We start from the raw sequence: 19,240 nt of genomic DNA, 5'->3' as shown, positions 1-19,240 counted from the left end.
TGAAATCAAACTTTAAGATGCCAAAGCATTAGAATGTAGCCAGACTTCAACTGAACCCGGCAGCCCCTGCACCTGGTTCTGGCTCTGGCTTGTATTTCAAGAACCCTCTTCTTTCCTTGTCTTCTCCTTCCCCATCATTTGCTGTTAATTACTAAAAACCTTCTGAACTGATTACTAAAATGGCAGCTTAATTGTCACTCCTATATTATGATGTTATTACAATGTCCTCTCTTCGTTTTAATTGACAGATATTTATTGAACTCCTACCATGTTCAAGGCAAGGTGCCAGGTATACATACCAAGGGAGAAAATACACACAGTGGGAAGATCTCAGCTCTGCAGTCAGCTTTGCCATGAACTACCCGCGTGCCTTTGACCATGTTAATAACATTCACTGGCTGAAGGTTAGGCATGAGCAAATGTGCAGAAGAACGAAAGCACACGGTGCAAAAGAGAGATCTTTGGCTAAAAAAGAGGTAGCAATACAATTTGCAAATGTGATTGTAAAACCATTTTAAATAATCAGGCAGCAAGTCAATCTTTTCAAACTTTGGATGTATTTTTCTGTGGGTTGGGTTCAGTTTCTTCAAAAATATCTTCCAATCTCTGTCTGAAGCAGAAAACACAAGGTGGCGTATGCTGAGAGGTGGTAGAGATGAGTGTTACAGAACTCTGAGTGAGGGAGAGTGGGAGAGATTTCTCTAATCTGAAGCAGAAATAAGACCTCAGAAAGAAGAGTGGGGCTGATGGAGTGGTGCGGTGAGTCTTGAACCGGATCTTTAAATAAAGGGAGGGAATTTAAAAAAAATAGCTAACATTCATTACACGCATCGCATACTTCACATGGTGCATCTTACTGAATCCTCACAAACCGCCCATGAAGTATTATTATCCTCATTTCATAGATGAGGAAATAGCTCTCCAGAGAGAGGAGGGGGAAAGGCTTTCCAGGGAGTGAGCCAATCACCAGGAGCCAAGGAGCTTCATAATGCAAGGGAGCAAGACCGGCTGGCAGGGCATACATGGCAATCTCTCCTGTTACTATCCCAGCAGTGCTGGTTTCAGCATCCTATACGCAGCTTGCAGGTTAGTTATCCCATGTTCTCATTCCGTCATGGTCCCTTTCCTTTTGTGAGTGCACAATAAGCAGCCTGTGTCCCTGAGTTGAATTACTTATCTTCCTAATAGTTTGAAAGTAACATTTCCTATCTTAGATTCTAGCCATTCATGTCCTTTTTCTTTAGACTTTTAGAATGCAACAGACCTCTAAGCATATGTACTAAAGACATTTTACCATGGCCCTCTGATGATTTCATGTAAGAATGTCAACATTTGGCAGTCACTTGCAGAGACAGCATTCATTAGACTAATAGCATGCTACTCTTTCTAACATTGGCTGAAAAATTCTATTCTTTTGCAAGAATGGATTAGGAGCTAAACCTTCAGAAACAAGGTGCTCACTCTTCAGGAAGAGCTTAGATACTATCTCTCTCTGTGGAAATACAGAACTTAAATGTGGAATTAAAAAGCCCTACTAGGCCAAGCACGGTGGCTCACGCCTGTAATCCCAGCACTTTGGGAGGCTGAGGCGGGCGGACCACGAGGTCAGGAGTTCAAGACCAGCCTGGCCAACATGGTGAAGCCCCGTCTTTACTAAAAAATACAAAAAATTAGCTGGGCGTGGTGGCGGGCACCTGTAATCCCAGGTACTCAGGAGGCTGAGGCAGGAGAATCGCTTGAACCCGGGAGGTGGAGGTTGCGAGGTTGCAGTAAGCCGAGATTGTGCCACTGCACTCCAGCCTGGGCGACAGAGCAAGACTCTATCTAAAACAAAACAAAACAAAAAAACCTACTAGGTTTTATGTAAGAGCATGAGAATTAGAAGTTGGGGTAAGAGTCTCCACAGAACCAATCTTGTCCAAAGGTCTACATGTCGTTAGCCAAATATGTAGCAAAGAGTAAAATACTAGTTAATTATAATTCTAAGCATACTCTACTACTAATTTTTAAATTATAATATTAACTAAACTTTTAAACAATTAGTAAAAATCCAAATAGATAATCCAAGAAACAAAGGGTATCTCTTGTCAGCTGGGCACGGTGGCTCACGCCTATAATCCTAGCACTATTGGGAGGCTGAAGTGAGAGGATCGCTTGAGCCAGTTCAAGATCAGCCTAGGCAACATAGTGTGGCCCTGTCTCTACAAAAAATAAACTAGCTGCATGTAGCTGCACACGCCTGTGGTCCTAGCTACTCAGGAGACTGAGATGGGAGGATTGCTTGAACCCAGGAGGTGGAGGCTGCAGTGAGCCAAGATGGCACCATTGCACTCCAGTGGGAGACAGAGCAAGACTCTGTCTTAAAAAATAAATAAATAAAAAATAATCTTGTCAATTATTTGCTAGAGTCAGTTATGTACCCCGTTTTGTATTCTAGTCTTCATATTTATTTTTGTCTAATTATCAAATGCCAGTATAGTTAAAAGCTTAATTTAAGTAATTTTAAAAAGAAAGGTTTGGCTGGTAAGTTAGCTTAAAGTCTACTCCATACCAACATACTTGTATGTGTCTTACCACTTCCTGGATGACTACTAGTTTAGAACCTTATTTCTCTTCAAATATCACTTTTAAAAGTATTCCCTACGAGTTTTATAGAAGATGCAACTCTCCAGCATAGTGAACATAGTAGCCACAAGCACAGCTTCGAAAGTCAAAAAGACCAAGCCTGTGACCTGAACCTCTCAATTATCTCATCTATCAAATAGGGACAATAGCATCTATCTCAGAAATCAAATGAGAACGTGCATTAAAATCACAGCACACTAAACATAGCACAATTCAGGACACAAAGTGCTCAATAAATGTGTAGTATGAAGCATGAGTTGGAATTTACCAAGTTGTTTTAAAACGTTTCGCAGCGCTTCCAGCAGCAGGTGTCACTCTCTCCCTAAGTGCTGACAGGGAGTCACCTTTTATTGCTAATTCAGATGCTGGGCATTCCTTGATTAGGGAGTAAAAGGTACGTTGATTCGGTATCTTGGCTATTGTGAAGTGCTACAATAAACTTGAGGGTGCAGATGTCTCGTCCATATACCGATTTCATCTCCTTTGGATAAATGCCCGGTAGTGGGATTTCTGGATCTTATGGTAGCTCTATTTGTAGCACATAGCACAATTTTAATTGCAGCCAGCCCCAAATTTGTTGCTTGAGGATTACAACAAATTTACACACACACACACACGTGGGCATATGAACCACATACAAGGTATAAAGCATGACCTACAAACAAAACATTCTCAGTTTTAAGTATCTGAATCCCTTACACCTGGACATCTTTACCGTGTAAGGTTTCAAAAAAAGAAAAAGAAAAAAAAGGAAGTTACCAGATAATGACTCCGCAGCTTAAAAAAATAAAAATAATTAACACCACATACTAAGAATTCCCAACCCTTGATGAGTTACAAACTAGATAGTTGAGATTTTATCAGCCCTGAAAAGTTTAGCTCTATTCTTCAACTGTACAGAAAACATACATTATCTAAGCAGGGCAAAGAACTGCTTCAGTATGTATTGCTTTATTAGGTCAAGATGATTTCCCACAATACTTAAACCTGAAAAATTCATGTTCAAACAGCCAGGAAACATTTCGGCAAAGGAAGCACTTAAAAAAAAAAAAAAGAAAAGAAACCAATCCTTTTATTGTACAACTTAATAATTTAATGATTTCTGTACTTTCAAGTTTAAGAATAAAAGGTGACAGTTAATGTTTAAAACTGGAAACCAGATAATCACACAAAAATCACATTTATTTCAAGAGCTCAAAGTGCAAATACAGCAAGTCAGTTCACAAAGTTTCAAGATACAGTTTTTAATGACAATGGAAATTTGATATACAAAAATGGAAGGGTAAATAGAAATAAAGCTCCTCAATTTTTAAAAAAATTCAAGTAATTTGAAAAGCCTTTAGACTAAAATACTCCACTTACATCCATTCAGAAATGCCAGTACTGCACTGCAATCAAGAAGGACTCTTCAAAGAGAGAATCAGCTCAAACTGGTCAGCTCTAGATTAGAATGGAAGTTCTTGGTGCCGGCTTTTCTTGATTTGGAAGCTTCAGTCACTCACTGCTATCAATTGATGAGGTTCAATCCATGATATTTTGATCTTTAGGTGAATTCTAAAACATGTTTAAAGTTAAAAAGGCCGGGCGCAGTGGCTTACACCTGTAATCCCAGCACTTTGGGAGGCCAAGGTGGGCAGATCACTTGAGGTCAGAAGTTTGAGACCAGCCTGGCCAACATCGTGAAACCCCATCTCTACAAAAATACAAAAATTAGCTGGGCGTGGTGGCGGGTGCCTGTAATCCCAGCTACTTGGGAGGCTGAGGCAGAAGAATTGCTTGAACTGGGAGGCAGAGGTTGCAGTGAGCTGAGACTGTGCCACCACACTCCAGCCAAGGAGACAGAGTGTGGCTTTGTCTCAAAAAAAAAATAAAAAAAAAGTTAAATATAAGGCCAATACCACTATGAAGAATTTTCTGAAATGACCAGTATATATCTAAAAGATTTAAAGACCCAATGTGAACTTCAGGCCTATGGTTTTACTGGGAGAAAAGCCATAGATTAATACTTCTAGTATCCAAAACCTTCTTGGAAGCTTAGGAACATGGTCTTTTAAAACTTCCTCATGAAAACTGTACTTAAATATATATTTATTCATTTCTACATATATAGAACTTGTAGGTAAAGTAGAAAAAGTTCCCACTAGGAAGGTAATTAAAGGTTGTTAATGTTCTTTTTATCACTTAGTAGCCAGAAGACATGCTTATTTCTGCTCTCCAGAAGCAATGTTAGCTACTAGTTTCTGAATTCAGGAAAACGTTTATCTTTCAGGAAGGTTTACGTGAGATATTTATTCAGTCTTTTTCTCAAACTTCTTCCTCTTTTCATTATAGGCATTATACTGAGAGTCTGTTCCAAAAATTCGATCCCACCATGTAAATGTTGAAGCATAGTTTCCAATGAAGTTCATGTGGTGGAAATCATGATGCCGAGAACCAGCATAGAAAGGGATCAGATTTAAAGGGTTGAGAGGAATATCATAACCACTGAAACAAAAATGATAAAGATTATTAAGGAATAAATACATCTCAAATGATTGTTGTTTTTATTAATAATCATGTGTTCACATTAACCAATTTAGATAACATGCCACTTTGCCTAGACCACTTTATTTCTAAGTGTTCACAAACAGCAAACACAGAAAATGGTGTATATTCTAGAAACCACTCTAAGAAAAAAAATCCTTAAAAAAACTAAGAAAATCATTTATTTTATGATAAAATATATGAATGATGGAAGAGACGGATTATAGTAATGAATCTTTAGACACAGATTTTTAAGAATTAATTTTCTTTTATGTTTTAGAGGAAGCTTTCTCACCATCATGTATAACAGTTGTAAATAAAGCCCAAAATACTAAATATGTTTTTTAGGAAAAGTCACATAAAATTAGTATCAAGTATTAAAAAGGGCAGGCCCATGAATCCCTGTATAGCAACTTCATTTACTTTTTTAGGCAATGACAAGTTGGAATCAAATGTACCACAATTAATCAAAATACCAGTGTACTTTTCTATAGTTGGCAGAAGACAAATGGCTTCAAAAAAGAGTCCCATTTAAAGTATGCTCCTTTATTTCCAACTACATATCTACAATCAGACATCCAGTTATACTTATTTGAATCACTCTAACCCTCTCTTCCTTTGAGGAGCTTAGAGGAAGGAAGGCAGAAAGAAACAATGGATAGAAAAAAAAAAGAAAGAAATGTCAATTACAATTTTTCTACAGAAGAATATTCTCTGCCTAGGACTAGAAGCATTAATTTTGCTACTTTAGCACTTTAAAAATAATTCTTAGAATTTGATATTCTGCATTCATGAGTACAGAAGTATGTCCCAAGTCAAAATGCAATGAACATATAATTAAAAAATAATGAACAATTAGGATAAGCATTTAAGAAGGCATTCAATATAAATAATTTACCACAAAATGTCTTCCAATCAACAGAAAGGATGCATTTGAAATATGTATGTGTTACAAGTAGTAGTTTCATCTTGCAAGTGCCTTTATCAGTGCTGAACAGTAGAGATTAGAAAGTCTTATTCAAGGAAGGCTGAATGCTTTGATATTTTTTTCAAATATGAGTTAAGTTTAGGTTTATTACAGAAGGATAAGGAAATTGCTGGTCCTGAATATATACTTGCCCTAATAACACATTATCACTATAAAAATTATAACAGCATAGGCTAGAATGTAAAAACATCTATTATTTAAACTTTTATCCAACAGTTATGTTTTCTTAATATAACATTAAGAAGATTAACTTCTCCTATTAGTCTCCTTAGAAATATGATAATCTTATGGCCATGAAAATAAATATATTTCATTATGCTTTATACCTGAACAGAAATTAATACTCACCTATGGACATCAATAGTTTCTAATAAACGAATGGTCACCCATGCCCAAAGAAGAATTACATGATCACACAAAAGCACGATTCCAATGAAAAATCCAGTTCCAAGAATTAGAGTCTCCAAAGGATGTGCATATTCAGCTTCCATTCCAAATGGAGCCTAAGACAAACAGATAAGAAATTCTTAATTTCTTAGCTATTGTGATGGTCAATTTTATGTGTCAACTTGGCTAGGCTATGATATCCAACTGTTTGATTAAATACCAGTCTAGATGTTGTTGTGAAGGTATTTTTTAGATGTTGTTAACATTTAAATCAGTAGACTGAGTAAAGGTGATTACCCTTCATAATGAGGGTGGGCTTCATCCAATCATTTGAAGGCCTTCAGGATAAAAGGCTGAGGTTTCCTGAAGAAGGATTCTCGAGACTGCAACACTGAAACCCTGCCTGAGTTTCCAACTTGCTGCTCCATGGAATTTGGACCCAAGGCTGCAACAATTCTTACCTGGATTTCTAGTCTGTAGCCTGCTTTACAGATTTCAGACTTGACAGCCGCACACTTGCATGAGCTGATTCCTTAAAATAAATCTCTCTCTGCATATATATACCCCAATGATTCTGCTTCACTGGAGACTTCACTAATATATATATCCTATTTATGCATAAAGTTTTACAAAGTTATATTGATTCTATATGTAGTGATGATTTATCTAGTCATACACTTATAAATAATACTAGCAATTCTCAATAAAAATACCTTACTCCACATCAAAAGTCTAGGGATATAAAATCTTGCTGTCTTTGATGGTTTAAGATAAAGGCATTAAATAATTGACTTGAACTCTAATTTTGACTTAAGTATTTATATTTGTTCTTCTAATAAAGAGAGGCTTGATTTGGCACACCATGTAATCACGGTCAATGCAAAACATACTCACATAACCAGTTGACAAAGCTACATCAAAGCAATTCTAATTGGCCGGGCATGGTGGCTCACGCCTGTAATCCCAGCACTTTGCGAGTCCAAGGCGGGTGGATCACCTGAGGTCAGGAGTTCGAGACCAGCCTGACCAACATAGTGAAATCCTGTCTCTACTAAAAATACAAAATTAGCCACGCGTGGTGACGCATGCCTGTAATCCCAGCTACCTGAAAGGCTGAGGCAGGAGAATTGCTTGAACCCAGGAGGTGAAGGTTGCAGTGAGCTGAGATCATGCCATTGCAGTCCAGCCTGGGCAACAAGAGCAAAACTCTATCTCAAAAAAAAAAAAAAAAAAAAAAAAAGCAGTGCTCATAGAAGTTACTGTTTTTGTGGGAGTTAGCAATGTGAGGATCTAGCTGTGCCAGTGTAGCACTGTCCACAAGGATGGAAGTCCGAACTTTCATATAATATTTTTCTTTCAGATCTCAATTTACCATGAAATTTAAATAATGAAAACAATGTGTAGAAATGGCTTGTTTGTATGTGTGTGTATTGTTCTTAATAATCATGCCAAAGGAAAAGAAAATAAAAACGTCACCAACAATTTTAGAAAAATGCTCAGGCAATTAAAATAGACATTTTGCCTCTAACAGAAAGAATTAAATATAACTCTCACATACCTGAAACTCATGATGAACTTTATGAATATACTTGTATATTCTTTTGTGGTGTAAGAGTCTATGCAGAAAATAGTGCCAAGTATCTTCAATGACTGCACAACCAAAGCATCTTGCCAAAAGAAAATACCTTTAAGATAAAAATGTTGTAATGTGTAAGAAATAATTTTTACTTAAACTATCCAGACTTTTAGTTGGGATCACTGCTTGAGACATTACATAAAACCACCCACCCACTTACCAGGTTGACCTAATTGGATATATTCATAAATAAATTCTCAAAACCACCAGATACAGCTACATAACTTGATATAAGGTTAAAGAGACTGCCCATTAGACCAATTTCATTTCATTACAATGTTCACACAACTTGCCTCATGACACTTTTCTCAAGAGATATCCGTTAAGTGACGCATGAGTATATATATGTGTGTGTATATATATATGTGTGTATATATATATATATATATATATACACATACATATTTTTGTTCATGTAAACACAATTTCTATAAACCTCATAAATGATTCTCATATATTTCATTCATTTTAAAATTAAAATGTAATATATTTTTGTCAACATAAGCACTTATACATGTATATAAACATACAAAAGACGTTATGGAAACTTCTGATACTAGAAGCTCACCTTCCAATAAAATATTTAAAAGATGTAAAAATGGAAACATTTTAAGATTTTACTGTGGTTTACTTTTCTACTATTTATTTACTTCCAAAGTTTAGAACAAACATTAACTAAAATTAAGAAAACGGGTAAACATTAAGTATAACTTAACTGAATAAGCCACAATTGGGTGTAAAAGCCAAATTTTTATCTACGTACCATCTTGGCATTCTTTCCCAATCATAAGGAATATTGAAATACTCTGTAAAATAATAGGTTCCACAAATCAAAGGCAGCTGGATACAGAAGTGATTAAAGAGAAGAACTTTGAAACACTTCCATTGGTTTTCCCATGTCTCTGGCTTATCCTACGAAGAAAAATCACAATATCTAATATTAGTCTCTGCTATCAGAGTTTAACTTGACCTAATTTGTTCTCTGTTTATGTTGGACCTTAATTCTACGTCAGTTATGTTAACTTTATATAACTAAGACTCAGGAATCTTTGCCTTCTAAATTCTTGACAACTACTATCACTACTTCAGGTGAAGAAACTGTTAACAGATGCGCCTAGCCATGATGATCTCAAACAAACTAAGAAACACTATGGAATGAATAATTCTCCAGTCTTTGCTGCCACAGATCATTCACTTCACTTCTTTTACCAGAAGTTTCAGAGAAGAAGAAATATAATATGCTAAGATTACTGTTGGGTGTCCACAATTGAAGAAGTTGTATACGAAGCATTGGAAGCCTTTTACACAGTAAGTCGATGCTTCCAGGCACTCAGTGGTATTCATTCCAACAAATAAATGCACTTTTGTTCAAATCCAATGACAGAATTATAAACTCTCTGAGTTGAGAAGTACACAGATATGTCCTGATTATGGAGTTCACAGATTCAAGTCAAAATGAGAAAAGTTAGATCAACATGGGATGTTCGTTAAGACCTCATCAGGATACCCATTTGCTTAGCAAGTCATTATAAAAAACAAAGCAAAACAAAACAAACACTAACTAAATGTATTCAATTTATAGGACTGCACTTAAAAAAGTGCTTTGGGCTTAACAAAACGATGGTGACAATAAATATCAGTTATTGCTTTGTTTTAAATGTCACTGCTGAAAAATTCAGGTATCCGCCAACAAAACTCTTTTAATTGAACCACGATATCCAAAGTACGGGAACTACTGCGCATCAGCAGAAGCCCAAAGAGGTCAACCAGCTTGGGCAGGGTCACACACGCAGTTATTAGCAGAAGTTGGACTAACTAAAATCTAGGTCTCCAGATCCAGCTCTGTTCTTGAAATTCTTTAAGGGTTATCTTCCTGACAAAAATAGGAAAAGCACTGAACTAAGAATCAATCCAGAGACTTGTGCTCTAATACCAGGGCTGCTACTCACCAGTTAACTAGCTCTTGTGATGTTTACAACTCAGTTTCTTCAACAATAAAATGGGAGGATCTGACAGCTGCCTTTGTATTTCTAATCTGAGCATTATCTAACCCCACTCCTCTAAACCTCCACTCTGTAATTGGGGACAAAATAAATGAAGGATTCAGGCTTCAGTTGGCAATAGTACTGTCTCCTACAGCAACTATGGTTAATAGACTTAATTTTCCAGGTAGACTGGGATATCGATGCAGTTACAGAAATTACAAAGTTAATCAACTATAATAAAATCACATGCTATACCATTTACAGTATACATAAATTAGTTACAAAGACAGTTAGCAATACAAATTCATACCTAGTGCAATATGAAAGTTTACCATATTTTACTTTCTTTATGCATAACTGTACTTAATATAAAGGAATACCTTTACAAGGGCCACAAACTTCAGAAATAATATTTTTAGTACATTTATCTTTGAGGAAAATTTTTGGAGAATTACTAAGATGTATGTTTTTTTTTTTTTTAAAGAAATAGATCCTGCAAAGTCTGCTTTACTTTTTCATTCCTGTGAAATTTTCGCCTAACTAGCAAGGATGTGCATTAGCTCTCCAGTTGTCTGTTCTGTTTGAAAGCAGAAAGTCTTTAGTACTATTTCATCACCACCACCAACTTCTTCTATTCTTTTCGACAATTTTAAGAATAAAAACATTTATTGCATATGTTAAATATAATTCTCAAATATTTTATCTTAAACAATTGATACCCTCAATGTTAATCAGGGTATCTGCCTTCGAAATGCATAAACCTGTAATTAATTTGTACCAATATTTTGGTTTCTTTTAAAACTCCTTTAACTTGTGAAAACTAGTCCTGGTTTAAAATCACATTTTTTATCAAAAATGCTCAAAGCATGGACTTTAATGGTTATGAAACATAAAGACTTGCTGAGTACAGACTTGAAGTCAAATTATCCAGCCTTACAATCTGTTCATAAACAACTAGCTCTGACCAACTAGACTACAGCTTATTCTTTCCTTTGCCACATTATATTTTAAAGCTGCTCATATACCCTTGCCTGAGAAAGTCCTTTGTCTCTCTGCAAAGGTTACTACTTCTAACCAGTGAGTCAGTTACAAACTGCAGTGAAGGAGAAAAAGGATGCTTTTGCCTGGCCAGCCATACAATGAATTACAATGAATAAGCCCTATAAATAAATCACTGGGTGAAACACGGCAGCCACAATCACCCTAAAGGTGCATTAGAACTTAGACGTCCAAACTTAATTCTGCCTTTCAAAGCAGCTGCTTTCCTAAAAAGCACTTTGGAGCTTCTGTGACCTTAATTGAGGGTCACAGAGTACTCTCCTTTGGCCCTCCTATTTTTTATTTCCTTCGCCTTTACCCTTTGCTCTTTTCTCCTTTGGCCTGGAGTCCACAGTCATCTGACCCCTGCATTATCCCCAGAGAGGACTAATATTAATACCTGCTTAAAGTGAGACTCTGGGAGAGGCTGTGAAACTAACAGAATGATAACAGAGAATGTGTACAGACTGCCATCCAAAATATATACAGTTGTCCTTTGGTATCTTTTGAGGATTGGTTCTGGGACTTTCTGCAAATACCAAGATCTGAAGATGCTCAAGTGCCTGATATAAAATGACATAGTATTTGACATAACCTACACGAATCCTCTCGTATACTTTAAATCATCTCTACAGCACTTATAATACTTAATAAAATGCAAATGCTCTATAAATAGTTGTCATTTTGAATAATGACAAGGAAAAAAAAGACTGTACATGTTCAGTGTAGACACAATTTTTTTCCCCTGAATATTTCTGATCTGCAGTTGGTTGGATCCATGGATACAACAACCCATGGATATGGAGGGCCAATTGTACTAAGTGAATGTAAATTACTTTCCATAGATGAATACTCTCAATGGTCTACTTTCTACCAAGACTGTGTGCCCCTGAGTTTTAGTTTGGAATGACTTTTTATGAAAAGTAAACAGCAAACACTAGAAACTATCATCAGCTTACAAATTCTAACAAATAATTCATCTTTCTAATAAGCTACTCCAAATTCTCACGTCAAGCTCACAGGCTACATATGAGATTTCACCTTGTCATGTACATAGCGACCTCTCAACATTTAGTGCAATGAAGCAAATATCCAGAAACGAGGAGCATCACCTCCTTATTTGGGATGATACGAATGCTGCAGAACTACCTACCATATATTTAGGGAAAAAAAACTTGAATAGCCCTGATCAAGGTCGTAGTGTATTAACAGTCCCTTAGATTTACTGGAACATAGAGTTGGGGTGAACTGCAAAATATGCGCAAATCACCACACCTTTCCTTTCCAGCTAGCTTAAACATTAAAATTCATAAACTTAAGTTAGATAACCATCACATCTACTTAAAGCCCAATTTAACAAAGTATTCTTGAAATGTTATCAATAATGACCTAGGACTGTGTTGCTCAATTCAGGAGCAACTAGTAACATGTGGCTTCCAAACACTTTAAACATGGCTAGTCTAAATTGAGATAGACTAAAATTAATGTAAAATACACACGGAATTGCAAAGACTTATTAAATATCTCATTAAGTATTTTTTAGAATTTGATTACTGATTGAAATAATAATTTACATTTATTTCTTATTTTTTTTGAGACAAGGTCTCACTCTGTCGCCTATGCTAGAGTATAGTGCTGCAATCTTTCTGCTTCAGCCTCATAAGTAGCTAGGACTTACATCACCATGCCTGGGTATTTTTGTATCTTTTTTGTAGAGACAGGGTCTTGCTATGTTTCCCAGGATGGTCTTGAACTCCTGGCCTCAAGCAATCCTCCTGCCTTGGCCTCCCAAAGTGCTGGAATTACAGGCATGGACCCTGCACCCAGCGATAGTTTACATTTATTGAGCTAAATGATACACATTATGAAATTAATTTCCTTATTTCTTTTTACCTTTTCTATGTATTCTACTAGAAAATTTAAAATTACATACGTGGCTTCATATTTCTATTGGATATCACTGCTTTAGCCTCACAAAACAAAGCCCTATGTACTTTTAAAATATTCAGCAACATTAATGATAATATTCTATTTCTAGTCCCTTATACTCACCTTTTGAATTTTGTATTTTTTCATATAAGGTATAAATTGAAATAAAAATCCAGGTAAACAGAATAAGAAATAAAGGGCTTCATGAACTATAAGGGATCCCCATGTTGCAATCTGGAACTTTGTATAATTATTCAACATATAGTTCCAAGCATTTTTAAATGGTTCTTGCAGAGGATTCTCAGGTAAAAGTGAATCTACATATTCCACAGCCAAGGATGCTGAACTAAAGATGCTGACACTTTCATTTGTTGCCATTTTTCAAATCTCTGCAGACAGCCTTATAATTCTGTAGAAATGAATACATATATAATAAGTTAAACAATGAGCTTTCAAAAAATAAAACAGTTAAAAAATGCATCCTCTGATCATTTTAAAAATGATAATTACTAAAGGAGTATAAATTTTTTACCAAAAAATTACTAAAGGAGTACAAATGGTTTTACACCATTTTAAAACATTTGCTGGATATCATCACCATTTCTATTTGTAGATATTCCTTTAAAAAACACATTATTTTCAAGAACAATAGCTAAAAGAACAATAGGGGAAAAATTTTTTCAAGCTATATTTAAAGAAATCGTCAGTGTGGTTCTCATGGAAAAGGTTCTAATTTAAATGAGCAATAGCTGGGTTTAAAAGTATCACTTAAAGCCAAAAGAACCTATAAAGAAAAAGCCTGCCAAATATGAGTATATAAAAATTAAGTACCTCCTACTGGGGAATAGAAAGACAAAGTCAAAGATTAAATGACAAACTGGGAAAAATATTTCCAACATTTTACAACAAAGGGCTACAAAGTGTGCTTTAGAAAAAAGACTAAAAAGACAACAGAAGAACGACAAATGCCATTCACAAGCAGTTCACAGAAAAATAAAGGCAAATGGTCACTAAACAAGGAAGAATCTTCACTTCATTAAATGAGGAAATGCACCCTAAAACAAAGAGACACTTTTAGCCTGAGTAGCAAATCTTTAAAAGCTTATTAATGTCCAGTACTGGTAAGAGGGTGAGAGAACAGGCATGACCACACACTGTGGGCAGGGGGGATACATCAGTGTATCATTGGAGGAAAAATTAGCAACACCTAATTCAAAATGAATACATCCTTTGATCCAGCAACTTTCTCATTCAAGGGTACAAAGACAGATCCGCTAAGATGGAAGGAAGCATTGCTTGTAGCAGCAAAAACAAAGAGGAAAAAATAAAAGCAAAACACAAATAAGCCATCAACAAGGTATGGGTTAAATAAATTAAGTCCTTCCATAGACAATTATACAGCCATTTAAAAGAACAGGGAAGATCTATACGCTCTACATAGAAAGATGTCTAAGATACAGTGTTAATCCAAGTAACAAGTTACAGAACAGTATGCATAGCAAGAGCCCCACTTAAGATTTTTTGAAAAGGATATGTATTTTATCTATGCACTTTTATGCATATGTATATACACAGACACACAGAAACAAAAAATGTACATATGGATAAAGGGAAAAATTCACACTGGTGACTTCTAGGAAAACAGAGTTGTGTGGCAGGGCAGGAGATAGTGTTAATGAAGACAGCGTGGCGGGGTAGGGGAGAGTGTTATGGAAGACAGCTCGGCGGGGTAGGAGACAGTGTGGTGGAGTAGGGGACAGTGTTATGGAAGACAGAGTGGCGACGGGGTAGGGGAGAGTGTTACGGAAGACAGAGCGCGGCGGGGTAGGAAATAGTGTTATGGAAGACAGAAAAAAAAATCTGACATATGTCTTTTGCACAATTTAAACTTTTTAAATGAGCATGTTCTACTTACCTAATAAATAAGCTCAATAGGTCACTAACCAAAAAATAAACTTCTCAAGGGTCACTTTCCTAAAAATGTTCACCACTGCTGCTTCTAATTTATGAATTTTTTGGACCATTTTAAAAATGAGTATTTTAAAGCCTCAGAAGCATTCTAAATAGTGCTTTAAAAGTCCCCTTCCCCAACACTTCTCAAACTGACCTTTTATCCCATTCTACAGAAGGAATATTGAGAACCTAGCCAACTCCTCCAGGCATCTGAATTCACTTCAGGCCGTCCTCCTTCTGTCCTACTCATCTCAAATGACTTACACCACAGTGACTATAGTGTTCCATCCTGTGTCATTACAGGCCTTAAAATTTCTTTGCTCATTCATTCTTTCCTCTAAGACTGACTAGTCTTCCTGTGTTCTTATCTTACCTCAAGAACTTGTCCATCACTTATCCTTTCCCATCTTTCATCCTTCTCCCTTCATGGAATCCATTCCTTCAGGTCTAAAAACACATTCACGTCTTTTCTTTTTTTTTTTCTTTTTTTTTGAGACAGGGTCTCACTCTGTCACCCAAGCTGGAGTGCAGTGGCACAATTATGGCTCATTGCAGCCTCGACCTCCCAGGCTCAAGCAATCCTCCCACCTCAGCCCCTCGTAGCTGGGACCACAGGCACATGCCACCACGCCTGGCTAATTTTTTTAATTTTTTGTGGAGACAGGGGTCACCCTATGTTGCCCAGACTGGTCTTAAACTCCTAGGCTCAAGTAATCCTCCCATCTCAGCCTCCCAAAGTGTGGGGATTATAGGTGTGAGCCACTGCGCCCAGCCTACATCTTCCTTTGTTGATAAACACCTTCCTAGCCTCCATTACCTCTTCCAAGCCACTGTCCCATTTATCTTTCTTTGAACCAACCAACTTCTTTCTCAAAGGAGAGCTCTACATAAAGATTGCTTAACTCAGCTGGGCATGGTGGCTCACGCCTGTAATCCCAGCACCTTGGGGAGGCTGATGCGGGCAGATCACCTAAGGTCAGGAGTTCAGGTGAATCGCTTGAAATGAGGAGGTGGAGGTTTCAGTAAGCTGTGACTGCACTCTAGCCTGGGCACCAACAGCAAAACTCCGTCTCAAAAAAAAAGAATAAAAAAGGTTGCTTAACTCACCCACACAACTCACTGAGCTACTTGCAATCTGGCTCCCCACCTGCACCAAAATGTCTTCAATCATCTTCTAAGTTGTAAAATAAGGCAACCATCCAATCTTAATTTTTCTCAAGGTGATTAGTAAATTTGACAATAATGAACCAAGACCACTTACTAGTCCTGTCCTGTGACCTTGGGCAAATTAGGTAACCTCTCTGTGATGCAGTTTTATCAGCAGCAAAAATTAAAACAGTAGGTCTTCCAATGAGTCCAAGAGACAATGCATATAAAGCGCTTAGTTAGCACAGGACCTGGCATGTAATAGCTACAAGAAACTAACAATTATTGGGCACTTTCTGTGCCAAGAACTGTGTTCAAAGCATGCTACCTGCTCTCTACATTTTCACTTTAATCCTTACCACACCTTCGTGAGGTAGGTATTATTTTATCACCATTTTATAGATAAAATAACTGAGGTTTAGAAAGATTAAGCAACTTGCCCAAAGTCTAATGCTTAATGTTAAGTTAATGCTTAACAAATGCTAAGTGGGGAAGCCCATGCACTCATCCATTATATTACACTATAATTATAAATAAAACCCATAATAAGTATTAGAGTACAAGGAGAATAATTCCTACAGTTTACCTAAGCTCTATGAAAAGGTATTCCACGAGTTGTCTTTATCTTCTTATTTCCTGTTTATATTCTAGCAACTGCAATCTGCATTCTATTGTCATCACTGCACTGAACTTACTCTTACTAAAATCACTAAGGAGGCTGGGTGTGGTGGCTTACGCTGGTAATCCCAGCACTTTGGGAGGCTGAGGTGGGCGGATCACAAGGTCAGGAGTTCCAGACCAGTCTGGCCAATATGGTGAAACATCTCCACCAAAAAAATACAAAAAAATTAGCCGGGTGTGGTGGCGTATGCCTGTAATTCCACCTACTGGGGAGGCTGAGGCAGGAGAATTGCTTGAACCCGGGAGGCTGAGGTTGCAGCGAGCAGAGATCACGACACTGCATTCCAGCCTGGGCGACAGAGTGAGACTCCGTCTCAAAAAAAAAAAAAAAAAAAAAAAAAAATCGCTATGGATCTCCAGCTGCCAAATCCAATAAACCTTTTTTTTTTTTTTTGGAGTTTATTTGACTAATCTGGAAGATTTGATACTTCTCTTCTTGAAATACCGCCTTTCCTTGGTTCTTGGAACTTAAATGCATTCACTCTGACAAGTATTGTGCATTCATTGTGCTAGCTGGTGCCCTTACCCCTGAGTTCATAAAACATAAAATTTAGTGAGGAATAACAACTAGTGTCCAAACCATCAAAAATTATGTGATAAGAACAATAAAGGGGGGAATACACAGTGCTATGAACTTCTAGAGAAAGGTGCTATCTAAACTGAGACCTAGAACAGGAGAAGGAGGTGACAAATTAAAAAATAGAGTGAGGGAGAGAGGGTCAAGGGAGGGGTTTTGCATAGAGAGAACAGCAACTCCAAAGACTCAACCAGGAGATTAGAAAAAATATGAGAATTGAAGCTGGAAAGTTTCCCAATAATGCCTTCCTTACTCCCTTCTAACGATTCCAGATTGTCTTGGGTGATCTTAACTATTTTCTGTTTTAAAAATATGCTGACATCCATCATCTCTATCTCTAGCCCTCTCCCCTAAACTCCAGGATCTAATTATCCAAGTTTACTGGTCATATCCAGTCAGAGAGTTCAGAGGCACATGAACTCACTCAACAGGTCCAAAGGTTCAGTATGTGCTCCTCACAACCCCCGCCCAAATACTAGGCCTCCTTTAATGCCTAATTCTCAGACATAACGTTTTAAGTCTCTCCCATTCTGCTGCCTTAAGTCTTCAAACTCTTACCCAATTTAGAAACACTTGGTTTAGTTAACATTCAGGAATTTACTTTTCACAAAGGAGCGAGGGAATGGATATACTGTTGCTAACCGAACAAGGAATTAAAGAGGAGAGGGGAAACAAGGTCTTGGAAAATTGAATTTCCTTTTCCTTTACTCATTCTTGGGCAACCTAAATGACTGGAAGCCTGTTCTGGAACAGGTTGACTAGATAAATTTAGTTATTTGTGGATTCTCAGAAACCTTGAAGTTTAGCTGTCAGCCAGTCTCTGTCCTTTGGCACTTTAACACGGATTTCACCAGCTCCTTCATTTTCTGGACTTGCCCTGCCTCCAAGCTTGCCCTTCCTAAACCTTATTTCTAAGATGCAATGCCACGATCTATATAAATTTAAACATCAGAGATAACCTCCTTAAAACACTCAAAGTTCAAGGGAGTGCTTGCCCTAAGCATAAAGATCAAGCCCCGCTGTGATTGATGCACACGAGGCCCTTCCAGACTTCTTCACTCTTCATTTCTTACATTCTCGCCATCCTACACTTCACATTTTTGCAGTATCTGATCACTCATGGTTGCTACTGCTTCATTCCTCTCTGCCCACGGAAATATCGTTCCCTTACAGGTGATGTCCTCCCATTCAACTCCTAGTCATCCTTCAGTAACCTCCTCTCGGACGCCCTTCCCAACCCCACTACTCCCAAAGCACACTACATCTTACCTCCTTCTAGTGGTTCCTGCTTTTGTATAACTTTCGCCAGCCTATCACCCTGTGCTGCAACTATCTTCTACGTCCTGTCTCCCGAAGACAACACATTTTAAAGGGCAAGAAACATGCCCTAGCCTAGTTCCATCACTTAAGAATTTCACTCCGTTTTCATCCTTTCTAGCACGTACCTTAGCCTAGGCCCACCTTCACTCCAGTCTCCTTCCGCCCCGTCTCGGGTACCACTGCCAGCGTCCCGCCCAGCGCGTGCATCCGCACCCAGAACCCGCTCCCCTCGATCTCACGGAGCACCGGGTGGGAGCCCGCCTGCTCCCCCTTCCTCGCTCATGAGCCACTCCTCCAACCCCCTCACCTGAACGGCCGCGAGATGACTGCCGGCCACCGACACCGAGGACTCGCCAGGTGTTCCAACCTCGGAACCTGCCTCGCCTGGCTTGGGGGTGGAGCCGGGTGGGCCAGGCGGCCCGTCCTGTCGTTATTGGCCTGCGAGAGCTCCC

The 19,240-nt window shown here is 37.7% G+C and overlaps 1 protein-coding gene across 3 annotated transcripts, besides 2 other annotated features; it reads right to left on the bottom strand.

The window, feature by feature from the left end:
* Positions 529 to 823: a silencer, noted in NCBI's record as "tiled region #3657; HepG2 Repressive DNase matched - State 13:Ctcf". NCBI's record gives its function as "represses a minimal TATA promoter and a strong SV40 promoter by Sharpr-MPRA in HepG2 cells {active_cell/tissue: HepG2}" and the evidence as "EXISTENCE:reporter gene assay evidence [ECO:0000049][PMID:27701403]".
* On the bottom strand, positions 3,696 to 19,191 carry MSMO1 (methylsterol monooxygenase 1). Of its 3 annotated transcripts, none has more exons than NM_001440534.1 (6): positions 18,914 to 19,191; positions 13,235 to 13,520; positions 8,923 to 9,071; positions 8,082 to 8,208; positions 6,485 to 6,639; positions 3,696 to 5,109 (listed from the first exon to the last, which is right to left on the bottom strand). In NM_001440534.1, exons 2-6 carry the CDS (start codon positions 13,487 to 13,489, stop codon positions 4,914 to 4,916), a joined length of 882 nt encoding a protein of 293 aa, NP_001427463.1. In that variant the 5' UTR covers positions 13,490 to 13,520; positions 18,914 to 19,191; the 3' UTR covers positions 3,696 to 4,913. The 3 variants fall into 3 exon arrangements, with proteins under 3 accessions (NP_001427463.1, NP_006736.1, NP_001017369.1); NM_006745.5 differs by having other exon boundaries at positions 19,096 to 19,191; NM_001017369.3 differs by lacking the exon at positions 13,235 to 13,520 and having other exon boundaries at positions 19,096 to 19,191.
* Positions 18,893 to 19,162: an enhancer, noted in NCBI's record as "active region_22119". NCBI's record gives its function as "activates an Ori minimal core promoter by ATAC-STARR-seq in GM12878 lymphoblastoid cells {active_cell/tissue: GM12878}" and the evidence as "EXISTENCE:reporter gene assay evidence [ECO:0000049][PMID:35858748]".

Source organism: Homo sapiens, chromosome 4 (assembly GCF_000001405.40).
Source record: "Homo sapiens chromosome 4, GRCh38.p14 Primary Assembly".
Classification (NCBI taxonomy): domain Eukaryota; kingdom Metazoa; phylum Chordata; class Mammalia; order Primates; family Hominidae; genus Homo; species Homo sapiens.
The sequence above is the reverse complement of the archived record's forward strand: the minus strand, read 5'-3'. Positions and strand labels throughout refer to the sequence as shown.

What these genes read in the sequence shown, in the direction of transcription:
- MSMO1 (NM_001440534.1), bottom strand. Translation starts at nt 13,489, where the DNA reads ATGGCAACAAATGAAAGTGTCAGCATCTTTAGTTCAGCATCCTTGGCT. An exon ending in TGGGAAAGAATGCCAAGATG is followed by an intron (nt 8,209 to 8,922) that starts GTACGTAGATAA and finishes TTTATCTTAAAG; the next exon opens with GTATTTTCTTTTGGCAAGAT. An exon ending in GAAACTATTGATGTCCATAG is followed by an intron (nt 5,110 to 6,484) that starts GTGAGTATTAAT and finishes TTTTTGTTTCAG; the next exon opens with TGGTTATGATATTCCTCTCA.